The sequence below is a fragment of the Homo sapiens genome, chromosome 11 (assembly GCF_000001405.40).
Source record: "Homo sapiens chromosome 11, GRCh38.p14 Primary Assembly".
NCBI classification, from domain to species: Eukaryota; Metazoa; Chordata; class Mammalia; order Primates; family Hominidae; genus Homo; species Homo sapiens.
Window position 1 is genome coordinate 73,141,663 of NC_000011.10, and position 13,583 is coordinate 73,155,245.

Below are 13,583 nucleotides of genomic sequence, written 5' to 3' on the forward strand. Positions count from 1 at the left end.
CCCGGCGGCCCCTCTGTCGGAAAGGCAACTCACACGCGCGCCCCCCACCTGGAGCCGGCGGCAAGTCGGTGACAAGCCCAAGACGAGGGCGGTCACGGCCCCTTGCGGGAGGGGGAAGGGGCGCAGCGGTCGCCCCAGCCGCGTTCCGCGTACGCATCTCTCCGAACCCCAAAGCCCCCCAGCTGCGCCCTTACCTTCCTCGGCGGCGGCTGCATGATGCTGAAGGGACATCAATCCTCCCCGACGGCAGCGTTAGCAAGGACCAGGAGGAGGAGGAGGGCCGGAGAGGAGGGGACGGCCCAGCGAGCGCGCGCGTGTGTGAAAGGAGCGCTTAAGAAGCAAGACTTGCCCCGGAGGGAGCAGGCCAGCGGGCGGCAGGCGGACCCCAGCCAGAGAGCGAGTGTGAGGAGACGAGGGAGGAGCACCGGGAAGGCTTGGGGCCCGGGCGGCCCGGGCGGCCCGGGGGTGTGTGAGGAAGGAGGCGGAGACGGCGAGGGGGCGGGGGCCCCAGGAGCAGGGGCGCGAGGGTCTCAGCCGGCCGGGCGGCGGGTTAGCCGCAGCCGCGTTGTCCGCGCTCCCGGTCGGCCGCCTGCGCCGCCGCTCCCGGCGGACGCAGCGGCCCCCACCCCACCCACTCAGGCGGCCCGGCCCTCGCTGGGCCTAACGCCCCCGCCCGCCCGGGAGGAGGAAGGTGGCGCCGCTCTCCCCGCTAGGGCTCCACCACTCAGGCCGCGGGAATTTCCGGCCTCGCCGCGCGGCGCAGCGCCCCGCTCCGGATGCTGAGGGAACCGCTCTGTCCAGAGCGGGGTTCGAGGGGCCGGTCCGGGCTGCCAGGAGGGAGCTAGGCCACGGCACGGGGCTTCGTACCGCGGCAGGGGAAGGGGGAAGCTAACGGATTGGTCGGTGGGTGGGAGGTGTAGAAACGCCAGCGCCACGCGAAAATCCCCCCTTTCTCTCCGAGAGTGGCACGTTCCAGACGCCTCCTGCCCTCCCTCCCCCACGCTGGGAGCCAGCCGGGGGCTTCCCGCGCGCTTTCCCGCCAGCTCGCCCCGGCGCGCGCGTCTCCGCTCGGGGGCGCGCACGTGGGCGGGAGAGGGCTCCGCGCCGACGCACGCGCACAGGCCGCCCCCGCCTCCTGCCTGCCTTTGCGTGTGTGTGTGTGTGTGTGTGTGTGTGTGTGTGTGTGTGTGTGTGTGTGTGTGTGTGTGTCGGGGGGCGCGGGGGACGACGCTCGCAGGGAAACGTTTGCAGTGGGGAGGGGGGCGCAGCATGCCTGTGGGATACGAGAATTCCGGCGTTTTCTTCCTCTCAGCCCCTCAACACCCTACTCTCCCTACCAGCTAGATGTGCGCGAGAGAGGCGAGCAAGGACAAGTCGCTTTGCGGCTGGCCGCAGGTGCCAGGCCATTGCGATTGTAGGGCGGAAAGGCAGTTGCTCTGCAAAGGAAACGGCGGCACTCTACTGCAGGGCATTCAAGTCAAACATCACTGACTCCGCTGAGAGGGAGCCAAGAGAACGTTAAGGCCGAGGCCCCCGTTTCACAGACGGGGAGGCAAGTGCCCATAGAGGGAAGCCTTTCTAAAGGTTACACAGCAGGACTAGAATCTGCGTCAGGAAGTGTTCTATGGGTTATTTTAAAAAAGAAACAGGTGCAGGATAATAAGCACGAGGAAAAGTAGAAGAGGCAGGAGAGGCCATAGAGGAAGCCCTTGTCTGGGAGTCAGGATCTCTGGGTGCCAGTCCACTTTGCCTGCTCCTTAACAGGCTAGGTGAGCTCGGCTTCCTTATCTGCCAGTGAGGGTGCTTATCTAAGCAGTGCACCCCACCACCACACATGAACCTTCCTGCTCTGTTCAGACCATCTACGGGGGAGTTTATCGACCTCCCTTGGGGTCCTCAGAAGAGGAATACCTCTTCCCCATGCCCAGGGAGGTTTTTTTTTTTTTTTTGAGTCACGGGGCTGTGTGGAGGCTGAGCTGGATTACTCCACCGTTTTTTCAGAAGTTGAGATCCCAGACAGCTGTTCTCAGAAGTGCAGTCAGGCCTAAGAGGAAGGTGAATGAGGCCTGGATAGACGAGTAACTTCCCAGATGACCACATGACCAGAAATTGAAAAGGTGGAACTTCAACCCAGGTTGTTTACATTGAGTTAGACTAGATTCTTGTACAGAAAAGTGACAGAGCTGTGTTTTGAATAAGATTAATCTAGAGCTGTGTATGAACTAGGAGACTAGTCTTGCTTTTTCTGGCTTCAAAAGTTAGCCCTTCACCAGAATCCTTAATCAAATCAGGGAAGGCCTGGGGCAAGGGGACAGGTGGATGGAGGCCCAGGGCCCTGACAGCTGCGGGGTGGCAGCTAGAGCCCAGGCCATAGGTAGCGTAGGCTGGGCTCCAGTCTCAGCTCCACCACCAATTTATTGTGAAGCGTTGAGCTAGTCAATTCACTTATTTCAGCCTTGTTTCCTCACTTGTAAAATGGAGGTATAATGCTAGCCTCATAGGCTTACTGTATTAAATAGAATTTCTCCTACCACAGGGCCTGGCATGTAGTGCTTAATAAGTGCTTATTGAGGCCAGGCGCGGTGGCTCACGCCTGTAATCCCAGCACTTTGGGAGGCCGAGGTGGCCAGATCACAAGGTCAAGAGATCGAGGCCATCCTGGCTAACACGGTGAAACCCCGTCTCTACTAAAAATACAAAAAATTAGCCAGACGTGATGGCGGGTGCCTGTAGTCCCAGCTACTCAGGAGGCTGAGGCAGGAGAATAGCGTGAACCCGGGAGGTGGAGCTTGCAGTGAGCAGAGATGGCACCACTGCACTCCAGCCTGGGGGACAGAACGAAACTCCGTCTCAAAAAAAAATAAAAAATAAAAAATAAAATAAGTGCTTATTGATTCATCATTCATTCAAAAAATACTTGCTAAAGTCCTGCTTTGTTCCAAGCCTGTGCCAGGCACTGGGGTTCTAGAGATGAGCAAGATAGAATCAGCCTTCGCCAAGACTGAGTTCCAGACCAACCATTCCTTGAATGACACTGGGCTAGTGGAAGAGGAGTAACACAGTACTTGGCCCGGATGCAGTGTCATGCACATAACAAGTGCTTAACAAAGATTTGCTGAATCCTAGTCTTGGGTGCAACTGGTCTGGCCCAGAGATTATCCTCCCTTCACCTCTCTTCTTAGGAAGTGAGCACTGGGGTATAATGGTGCTGGATGTTGGGAGACATGGGATCCAGCCTCTACCATGGATCTAGTGGGTCTTCTCTGGGCCTTGGTGCTGGCCTGCAGAATAAGATAAGTGAGTGAGCCTAGAACTTAGGAGGCTCTTCACAGAAGAAGTCAGACCCTGGGGATTTCGTTTATGCATATAGGAGGGCATCCTCTACCTGATTTGCCACCGTTCTGAAGCCAGGAGTGGCACTGACTTTCTGGAATGATTTCCTTTGGAAGTGTTATAAAGAGCTAAGGGCAATACCAGATGGGCTTACCTACTAACTCCTATTTCAAAACTGTGATTTAAAAAAATTGTTTTAATACTTACCAAGTGTCTCTTCCAAACCCTAAACTTTCATATTACTTTTCCAAGCTAATCTTTACCCATGAGATAGTATTCGTTTCTTCATTTTTACTGATGGAGAACTGGAGGCTCAGTGGGGATAAGTGACTTGCCCTGACATGATAGACTTCAGACCATAACCCAGTTGTCCGATGAGGAATGTTCGTGTATGAAGAATGTTCAAAGGAATTGGGAGAGTTCCTAACGCAGGAAAATAAGCAGACCCAGGAGGATACAATCCATTATGTTCCAGACTCTAGGGGACCAGGGAAGGGATTTCTGTGACTTATGTAAGCCTGACTTGAAATGTACCATTTTGAACAGGGTTGGGGACTTCCAGAGCCTTGCTCCTGCAATGCAGGCAAGCGCTGTGTTGCCAGTAGCATTGCTTGAGATTCTTTGGGGAAATGGTGCAGAGCAGCAGGCACTATGGCCCCAGAGACAAAACTGGGACAGGTGTTAGCTGCATCTCAGGAAGGAACTTTTCCAGGCAGAGCTACCCCTGGAAGGAGTGAGCTCCCTGTCCCTGGGGCTGTGCAAACAGGTTCTGGCTCCCTTCCATCAAGGAGACCACAGATGGGATCTCACTCTGAAAAGAAATTAATAACAGCTGCCATTTATTTTGCCTCTTCCATGTTCCAGACATTAAAATAGGCGTGTTATTTACATTGTTTCCAACATTCACAACAACTCCTCATAATACATATAACCCCATTGCACAGGCTGCAGCTCAGAAGTGAAATGACCTACCCAAGGTCACACAGCTAGTGAAGGAAAGGGAGGGCTGGCCCCTGGCTCTGAAGCTGTGCTCTCCCTCCAGCATGCTGCAGTGCAGTCTCCCATTTCATTAGGAATATGATTCTAAGGTTAAGTCAGAGCTAGGATCAAAAACTGGCCTGGAGCAGGTATATGAATGGGTATCAGAAGATCAGCTGTTCTGATATTCCAGGGCTCCTGGGAAAACTGGCAGGGAGACAAAGTATACAGCGGCCCTTTAGCATGGCCAGAACATGAGTAGCACACTACTCCCCATCCAGAGCACGCACCTAGGACAGTTTGACTTCGTCAAAGGCTCTCTTCAGAGAAAGTAGCTGCCAGTCCCCCTGCCCACACTGCACCAAAGCATCCCTGACCGTTCCTGCAGTTGGGGTCCATCAGCTCTCTCTACTCTGTCTTCCTCTGTGTCATTATCCCCCACCTGCATTGACACAGACTGCTCAGGAATACTTGTTAGCACGTCTGGATGCCAGCTATTCCCTGCCTGGGCCCCACCAAGTCCAGCTGGGGATGCTGCGGCAGACAGTGTGGTCTATGGACCCCATCCCCATTCATCTCCTTCCTACCCCTAGTCACCTTTCCCTACCCATGCCTTTGCTCCCTGAGCTAATTCCCTCAACACCAGCCTCCTGCCAGCCTGATGTGAGAGTGTGCCAGTCTCTTCCACTATCAGCTCTCAGGACAGAATCCCAGCACAGGTAAATGAGACTTCAAGATTGGTGGCCACCAGAAGAGAGCAGGGGCTCTCCTTAAGACACATAGTGAGTTTGTTCAAGGCACTAGGCCTTGAATTCCATAGTATCACTCAACAAGCCCTTATCCTGGGCTTAGTCATAAGCAGGTCTCTGAGGTGAGGAGCTGCCCACCAGGAGCTCCCAATCTCAATACAGAGACCAAGGTCACAGCAGTGAAACATGCAGGGCCAGGAGGGTCATAGGGACCCAGATCCTACCAGGTGGTAGCAGAGATCTAAGGCCAGAGGCAAGTCCCTAAGAAGCAGGCACTGGGACCAGGAATTATCTTGTCAAGTGTTGCCCCTACCAGGGAATATTACAACTTTGGGTGGCAGGGGTGGGGGTGTACGGTAAATGAGCAGTCAGTCCCAGGGCTATGGTAGGAGCTGATAGGCACATGGTTTTAACATTACAAGGCAGGAAACCACGGTGCTAATTCTATCTCTGCCAGGTACTCACTGAGTGTGACCTCTAGCGCATCACTGTCCTCTCAACCTTGGTTTCTACATCTATAAAATAGGAATAATAAATTCCATCCTGTCTTCCTCTTGGAGGGCTGTGCAGGTTAAATGAAATAACAGGTAAATGGTCTGCAAGGGCTGAGGAGCCACATAAACAAGTAACTGCTGATCCTAGGACACATCAGGGAAGGTTGAGTGACCACCTGTATTGAACGCTGATCAGCACCTTCCGCCATGAGCTGCACTGTGATTAGGCACCAATGAGTAAAATACTTTTGGTGGAGGGATGAGGTTACAGGGGTCTGAGGTCAAGCAAACCTGGGTTAGATGTCTATTTCTCCTCTGCCAAGCTTAGAGTTTTTGATCAAGTCTTGAAACCTCTTTTCAGCCAGGTTTCCTTGTCTATAAAGGAGAGATAATGGCTCTTTGCAGGGTTGCAGTGGGAATCAAATGGGAATGTTTATGTAAAGTGCCTGCAACTGTGCTGGCCCACAAGTGTGTTTCCTTTGTTGAGTTTTCCTTCAGTTTCCCGTCATTTTGTTATGGCTTTATTTGTAAGTTAAAAAATAAACCACAAAAAGAGGAATTTCCATGGGGGAGATTGAGCCCCACTAGAATCTTAGTTCTGCTCCTTACTCATTGTGAGGACCTGGAAAGTCCCTGCCTCTCCCTTAGCCCGGGTTTTCTCATCTGTAACACCAGGGGTTCCACCAGGGAGTTTCTCCAGAGCCTAGCCTGGGAGGTATGGGATGCTACCAAGTCTGTGAGCCCCTTTCAGGGAAAGGACCCTTCAGGCTGAGCTGGGTAAGGAGGGCCAGGCAGGGATCAGGGGAGAGAGAGGAGAGTTGTGGGAGAGGGACAGCAGGATGCAGAGGTGGCAGTTCTGTCACCACCATGGGCTGGCCTGTGAAGGGAGCAGGCCCTGTTCAGGATGCCTGCCTGCCTGTTTTCCCACAGCCTGCTGAGTTAATGCCAAAACAAAATACACTTGCTTGCTCCCTGCCCGAGGGCAGCAGGCCAAAATAAGTGTCCTGGAGGGCTGGCAGACACCCTGGCATCCCGCCTGTCCTCCGTGGGCATCCGCCCTTCCCCTGTCTGCGGCACCACCCTCAGCCAAAGCTGGCCTAGGGTGTGGAGAGGAGCCTCCCCAGGGTCTGCACTCCTCCTCCCATTTGCAGCCTTCGTAAGTGGACACTTCCAACCCCTACACCTGCCTGTCCTCCCAGTCCAGCCTTGGCCCGAGATGTGATCTAATTCTCACTATGCTGCTGTGGGCAGAGCACATGGCATCAGAATGCTAGGAGCTGCTGTCGGGCGCCATGGGAGGGAATTCCCCAACTCAGGAAAGCTCTTCCAGCGGAAAGGAGCAGGTGGCGAGCCTCCCTGAAGAGACAGACACTGCCAACGCTACAGGCAGAGCCAATCGTGGGGTAAGAAGTGTCAAATCTACCACCCCCGGCCTTCTGTCTGATGCTTGTCTACACTGTGTACATTAATAATAATAGCTCATGCTTTATAATAGTTACTATGTGGCAGACAGCCTTCCAAGCACTTCGCATAAAAAACTAATGTAATTCTCACAACTCTGAGGTAGGTACTATTACTAGCCTCATTTTACAGATGAGGCATTCACAGGTTAGGTATGCCTATGGTCATGCAGCCAGTGGCAAACTGAGATGTATACCCAATTAACCAGGCTACAGGGTCTGTGCTGTTAACTGCTAAACTAATCTGCCACCAAAAAATGATATCCCCCATAAAACCCAGGTCCAAACTTGGAACATGACAAGATGCTTGCCTTAGGACCTTACAATCCAATCATCTTTCCAACTTGCCTAAGCTGAGAATCACCAGGGGGTGCTTGTTTAAAATACATAGTCCTCTGTCCCTAGCCTCCAGCCCCACTCTGAGGATTCACTGAATTTGAAGTGGGAGGAGAGGCAGTGCCTGACATGTGGAAATCGCACCATAAATGCCTGTTAAATGAATGAATGCTTCTGACTTCTCTGAGCCTCTGCTCATCTCTAAAATAGAGTTACAGCTCCCTACCCTCCCCCATTTCCAAGTGTGGCTGTGGGTTAAGCCAGTGTATGTGTCTGCTCCAGCTTTGCTGGGTGTGGGAAATTGTTTATAAGCATACCCGGCTGGCTCCTAATAATAGCTGTAATAATAATAGCTGACATTTCTTGAATGCTTAGGGGGTACCAGGCACAGCTCTGAGGGCTTTGACTGTGTTAACCCATTAATTCTCACAACACTCAATGGTCTTGATTGCAAGAATGGAGCTAAGTCACTTGCCTGAGATCACACAATTAGTAAGAGGTAGGCTATTTGAACACAGATGGTCCTGCCCCAGTGTCTAGAGGTTAACCGCTCCATCACAATTACCAGAGTCACCCAGACCTTCCTCATGGGAACTGGGCTGCCACCATTTAATTGAGCAAATGATTTCTGTACCTGTAGTATTCTAGGAGGGGAGAATGAAAAGTTGAATTAACAGGTACCCTCAATCTAGACGGAGAGGCAAGATATAGAATTCCCTAATGATTGTTTGAGTCTGAGTAATTCCAAAGCACAAAATCAAAGTGCTGTGGTTGTTCTAAGTGGGGGAAGACTGCCTCTGTCTAAAGGAGGGGCCCACGAGGGCTGCATTGGAAGTAGGCCTTGATGCATGGGAGGCAGGCACTCCCTGCGGAGGGACAGAGAGAGCGAAAACCACAAGCTGAATGGGCCTGAGCCACGTTTGGAAACATGGCTCTATCCATATTTCTCTTGGATAGAGAATCCTGTGAAATGAGGTAGATGGTGTAGCCTTGGGTGGCCCTCTTGAATGTCTGCTCACAATTTCCTCCTTCCTTCCTTCCTTCCCTCCCTCCCTCCCTCCCTTCCTTCCTTCCTTCCTTCCTTCCTTCCTTCTGTCTTACTTTCCTGTTTGTTTGATTGAGATGGGGTCTTGCTCTCTCACCCAGGCTGGAGTGCAGTTGTGCAATCACAGTTTGCTTGCAGCCTTGACCCCCTGGGCTCAATCAGTCCTCCCACCGCAGCCTGCTGAGTAACTGGGACTTCAGGTATATGCCACCATGCCTAGCTAATTTTGTTGTAGTTGTTTTTTGTAGAGACAAGGTTTTGCCACATTGCCCAGGCTGGTCTCGAATGCCTGGGCTCAAGCAATTCGCCCAGCTTGACCTCCCAAAGTGCTGGGATTACAGGTGTGAGCCACCGCACCTGGCTCTGCTCCCAATTTTAAAAAGCAGTAGTCCTTTATGGTTTTATCACACTCCACAAATATTGGCTATCTCACTCATCCTATCAATGTCCCCATCCCCGTAGACTTCTGGGAGGAGATCTTGTTTGTGGCACCCAACAGGCACACTAGATGGATGGATTTCAAGGTCTGTAGACCCAGAGGTTTAACAGTAGTGGAACATTAAGTGTGGGCAGCCAGGTCATGGAATACAAGGCCCAGTCAGCAACCTAAGGGAGGATGTGCCCAAGGGCCTGCACAGGCCTGTCCTTTGCTCATATTCAGCCTATAACCTCACCTGCTGTGCTGAGCCTGTGACCGGGGGAGGTTTGTGAGTGAGTGGTCCATAAGGAGAAGATGGGGTGTGTCTGAAAGACAAGATACCCTGGGCTTGGTCACACTAACTCCAGTACCTTTCCTGTCTGCACACTGGGCACTCAGCTTCCAAGTAGATGTGCACTTAGAAGCTGCACATCTCAAACAAACAAACAGGCACATCAGCTTCCAAGCAAGCCTGCTAATAGGCTATTTTGACCATGCACCCACTGCTCAAGACCCTTTTATGGCTGCCCACTGCCCTCCAAATTTAGCCCAAGCTTTTTAACCTGACATTCAAGGTCCTTCACTGTGTGACTCCAGCCAGCCTACATAACCTCATCTCTCAGTCCTACCATTTTAGGTACCCTTTGTTCCAAAGACACAGCATATATGTACACACACACAAACACACACACAACTTTTCCAGCAACTCATCAGGCTCTTTAGCAACTTCATGCATCTGAACATGCTATTCCCTCTGCTTTTAACACCCTTCTCTCTTTTCTCTACAGGGTCAGCTTAGGGTCTTGGTTAAGAGCTTGAGTCAAGTTCCAATTCAGACTGACCAGTTGGACCTTTGGCCCTGCTGCTCTCTAGCTGTGTGGCCTTAACTCCATAATCTGGATGCTGTGTACCTCTCCAACATGAGCTCACAGCATCTCCCCTCCACCGTGTTCTACTATGTTCTGCCCTGGGCCTGTTTACCCTTGGCACAGCTCTGACTCTCTCTGGGCCTGTGTCACTATATATGTTGGGATAATTCGGTACCCTTGAGGCCCACGTGCCTCTGTCACTCTGTATATTGGGATAATTCTGTACCCTTGAGGCCCACATGCCTCTGTCACTCTCTAGTCTGTCACTATCAAGACCAGAACATGCTTTCTAGATGGTACCGGAATTACTCTGAAAGTAAAGCTTCACCTGTTCTCTCTGGGACAGCTGGAAAAACCTCCAAACCAGCACCGATCACAGAGAAGTGACTGCATCAAGGCCAGAGGCATCTTCCAGATATTCCATCTGGGTGAGAATCTTTCAGCCATATCTGGAGACCGTTAGTCTCCATTTGCACCCACACCCACACCCTGCACTGTGCCCTGGGAGGCAGACCTCTGTGGGCTCCCTCATGAGGCCTTCTTGCCAACTGGCTTCCACTTCGGTCTGGACATGATTCCTGACCCCTTTGAGTGCTGGGCCGTAAGACTTTTCCACTGTTGCCAGCCTCTGGGTGGGTGCCTCAACGTCCTTTTTTTTGTTCTCTTACCCTGCCAACACCTCAGTACAGTAGTCCCCTCATTAAAGTCTCTTCATCTGAACCATTAGGGGTGAATTGCTTCCTGCTGGTCCCCAAATACCTGACCCTGCACCTGGAGATGATTGATCTGAATGGGCAGATCCAGGTGGAGGGTCAGGTATTTGGGGACCAGCAGGAAGGAATTCACCCCTCGTGGTTCATAACCCCTACAAAAAATAAAAAATTAGCCAAGCGTGGCAGCACATGCCTGTGGCCCCAGCTACTCACAAGGCTAAGGTGAGAGGATCATTTTAGCCCAGGAGCTCCAGGCTGCAGTGAGCTGTGATGGTGCCCCTGCACTCCAGCTTGGGCAATGAGGCAAGACTCTGTCTCAAAAAAACAAACAAACGAACAAATGAAAAAAACAGACACAATCATGTCAAGATTTGCCCCAGAACAAAGAACTCATCAGCGCAGCCCATGAACAGCCCCTCCCCAAGTTCATGCTTTGGGCCAGGCATACTCAATGCTAGCTTCTCTGGGCACATGAGGGTCTGATTCTGACTTATCAAGAGCTCTTGTGGGCAGAGCCCAATGAGACAGGGGCACCTGCAGCTGCAGTGAGGTGACAGTGAAGTAACAGTGACTAGTTTGGTGAACCAACACTACAGAATAAAACAGGCCTCAAGGCAAAACATGGTCAGACCACTGCTCAGGCAGCATGAGCAGTGCAGGTTGGTGTAGGAGAAGCCAAGGAACTTGAGCTGCTCGGGGCAGCCTCGCTGGAGGGCCTACAGGACCTGGATAGGAACCATGGGATGCTAGAAAGGGTGGGATGGAACACTGGGAGGGGTGGGGAGTAGGGAAGGAATATCTCAGGAGAAAGAGTTAAGGCCTAGCAGAAGGAAGTGGGATCTCTGAGGGCAGGAACAAGAGGCAGGGGCTTGGTCAGGCATAGCCCCTTACCCTGCCCCGTCCTGGAACAGGTCTCCAGCCTGAGGACAGGCCCCTAGCATCCCCCACAAGCCATCCCCCTCCTTCAACTGGAAGTCACCCCAACCCTTTCACTTCCCTTGCTTACGGCACCTGCCCAGACCACAGCCACAGCTGGGCTCAGGTTTCAATTCTTGTTTCCTCCACACCTATGTAGTCTCTTGAAAAGTTTCTATTTCTTGACAGGGGCTAGGCCTGACACCTGACACCCTCAATCCTCTGCCACTGCCTCTTTACAGTTGTTTCTGCCTGGCCCCAGCCCTGTACTTTGGTCCTCTGCCCTCCTAGCAGCCCGAGCAAGACTGCTAATAGGCTATTTTGACCATGCATCCGTGGCTTAAGACCCTTTTATGGCTGCCCACTGCCCTCCAAACACATTCAAGGCCCTTCACTGTGTGATTCCAGCCAGACTATGAAACCTCATCTCTCAGTCCTCCCATTTTAGGTACTCTTTGTTCCTAACATACCGCACATACATACACACGCACAAACACACACAGACAACTTTTCCAGCAACTCATCAGGCTCTTTTTAGCAACATCACACATCTGAATATGCTGTTCCCTCAGCTTTTAACACCCTTCTCCCTTTCTGTACTTGATAAACTCATATTTGCCCTTTAAACCCCAGCTCAAAACCTCTGCTTCTGTGAAGTCTTCCTCCTTCTCCTAAGTCAGAATTAATCTCCCCTCCTCTGGGTCTCCATAACTTTGTTCAGATCTTGATGACAGCAGCAAGCACAAGCAGACTGGTCTTCCAGACTTCTATTTAGCCATGTCCTCTTCTGAATTCCCCTTCCTTTCAAGACTCTGGCCCCAGGTGGACCACTTAATATCTATATGACCTTGGGCAAGTTGCTTAACCTTCCCTGGATCTCTGGATGAATGCTGAATTAATGCTCTATGTCCACAGCTTTTCGGCACCTATACATGCATTGATAATCACAATTAACCAATGATTCTGTAACTATGTCCTACCAGGCTGTGAGTCCCTTGCCAGCAGGGTAACAATCCAGGTTCCTTGTAACCAAATTGTCTCTGTATCCCCAGTGCCCACCATTCCAGAAACCCTTATTGCACAGGCAAATTTAGCCCAAACTCCATTTTTGCAAATGGAGAAACTGGACCCAAAGAGGCACAGAGATTTGCCTAAGGTCATGAACCAGCTTCAGAGTATTCTCCTTTGCCCTCCCTCCAAATCTTTGGGCCAGCATCTCTCCAAAGACTGTCTCTGGCCTAAGCTAGGGCTCTGGACCAGAGAACAGGCCTGCACCAGGCCCCACTTGTCACTGTCCTGTGGACTCTCAGGGTAGAAACTACCAGATGCCCAGACAGTTTTACTTCCCTCCTGGCTGCAGAGACCATGCTGAGAGCAACTGTCAGACCTCAGACACTTCCGTTTCACCCAGAGCCAGGCTTCCTTTTCATATCTTCCTTAGGCAGCAAGCAGACCTTGGGCCACAGCCTCTGCACCAGACCCTGGAGAGTTTTGTTTCTTCTTGGGGGCTCGGCCCAGACAGCCACAGTAGTGAACTCCCCCTGAGGAGCCTAGCAGGAGGTTCGTGGCAGGAAAGTTTGTGGCAGGAAAGCCTGATAACCCACAAACCCTAGAAATTGGAGTCTTGACTTTGATGACACCTCATCTGATCTGTATGGTTGGGGACAGAAAGGCCTCACATAAGGAAACTCCTGGAGAATCATAAGCCCTCAGAGCCCTTGGTAAAACCTGTTCATTTTACGGATGGGGAGACTGAGGCCCAGAAAGGGATTTGCCCAGAGCAGATATGCAATGGTGTACCCAATGCTGATCTTAAAGGTTTTGATCTGTGGTACCTTTAGTTGCTTTTGCCCATTTTCTTTCTTCTCTTTTCTCTTCTATTTTCTTTTCTTTTCTTTGACGGAGTCTCGCTCTGTCACCCAGCCTGGAGTGTAGGGGTGTGACCTCAGCTTACTGCAACTTCCACCTCCTAGGTTCAAGCAATTCCCCTGCCTCAGCGCCCCGAGTAGCTGGGACGACAGCATGCACAACCACACCTGGATAATTTTTGTATTTTTATTTTATTTATTATGATTTTTTAAGATGGAGTCTCGCCCTGTCACCCAGGCTGTAGTGTAGTGCACGATCTTGGCTCACTGCAACCAAGCAATCCGCCCGCCTTGGCCTCCCATAGTGCTGGGATTACAGGCCTGAGCCTCCGCTCTCGGCCTGTTTTCTTTTTCTATTTCCTTTCTACCAGCCTGGCAGATGCCTCCTCTCTCTGCTGCCTTGGT

General features: G+C 51.8%; 1 protein-coding gene across 2 annotated transcripts in view, besides 8 other annotated features; it reads right to left on the reverse strand.

Moving 5' to 3' along the window:
* FCHSD2 (FCH and double SH3 domains 2) overlaps positions 1-656 on the reverse strand; it is a 305,574-nt gene extending 304,918 nt beyond the window's left edge. For both annotated transcript variants that reach the window (NM_014824.3, XM_047427950.1), the window contains exon 1: positions 195-656. In NM_014824.3, the coding sequence (NP_055639.2) occupies positions 195-215 (21 nt within the window). In that variant the 5' untranslated portion in view covers positions 216-656. The remainder of the gene's footprint in view (positions 1-194) is intronic.
* Positions 325-704: a silencer, noted in NCBI's record as "silent region_3734". NCBI's record gives its function as "represses an Ori minimal core promoter by ATAC-STARR-seq in GM12878 lymphoblastoid cells {active_cell/tissue: GM12878}" and the evidence as "EXISTENCE:reporter gene assay evidence [ECO:0000049][PMID:35858748]".
* Positions 865-1,244: a silencer, noted in NCBI's record as "silent region_3735". NCBI's record gives its function as "represses an Ori minimal core promoter by ATAC-STARR-seq in GM12878 lymphoblastoid cells {active_cell/tissue: GM12878}" and the evidence as "EXISTENCE:reporter gene assay evidence [ECO:0000049][PMID:35858748]".
* Positions 1,475-1,584: an enhancer, noted in NCBI's record as "active region_5215". NCBI's record gives its function as "activates an Ori minimal core promoter by ATAC-STARR-seq in GM12878 lymphoblastoid cells {active_cell/tissue: GM12878}" and the evidence as "EXISTENCE:reporter gene assay evidence [ECO:0000049][PMID:35858748]".
* Positions 1,665-1,804: an enhancer, noted in NCBI's record as "active region_5216". NCBI's record gives its function as "activates an Ori minimal core promoter by ATAC-STARR-seq in GM12878 lymphoblastoid cells {active_cell/tissue: GM12878}" and the evidence as "EXISTENCE:reporter gene assay evidence [ECO:0000049][PMID:35858748]".
* Positions 11,082-11,191: an enhancer, noted in NCBI's record as "active region_5217". NCBI's record gives its function as "activates an Ori minimal core promoter by ATAC-STARR-seq in GM12878 lymphoblastoid cells {active_cell/tissue: GM12878}" and the evidence as "EXISTENCE:reporter gene assay evidence [ECO:0000049][PMID:35858748]".
* Positions 11,432-11,651: an enhancer, noted in NCBI's record as "active region_5218". NCBI's record gives its function as "activates an Ori minimal core promoter by ATAC-STARR-seq in GM12878 lymphoblastoid cells {active_cell/tissue: GM12878}" and the evidence as "EXISTENCE:reporter gene assay evidence [ECO:0000049][PMID:35858748]".
* Positions 12,262-12,311: an enhancer, noted in NCBI's record as "active region_5219". NCBI's record gives its function as "activates an Ori minimal core promoter by ATAC-STARR-seq in GM12878 lymphoblastoid cells {active_cell/tissue: GM12878}" and the evidence as "EXISTENCE:reporter gene assay evidence [ECO:0000049][PMID:35858748]".
* Positions 12,782-13,021: an enhancer, noted in NCBI's record as "active region_5220". NCBI's record gives its function as "activates an Ori minimal core promoter by ATAC-STARR-seq in GM12878 lymphoblastoid cells {active_cell/tissue: GM12878}" and the evidence as "EXISTENCE:reporter gene assay evidence [ECO:0000049][PMID:35858748]".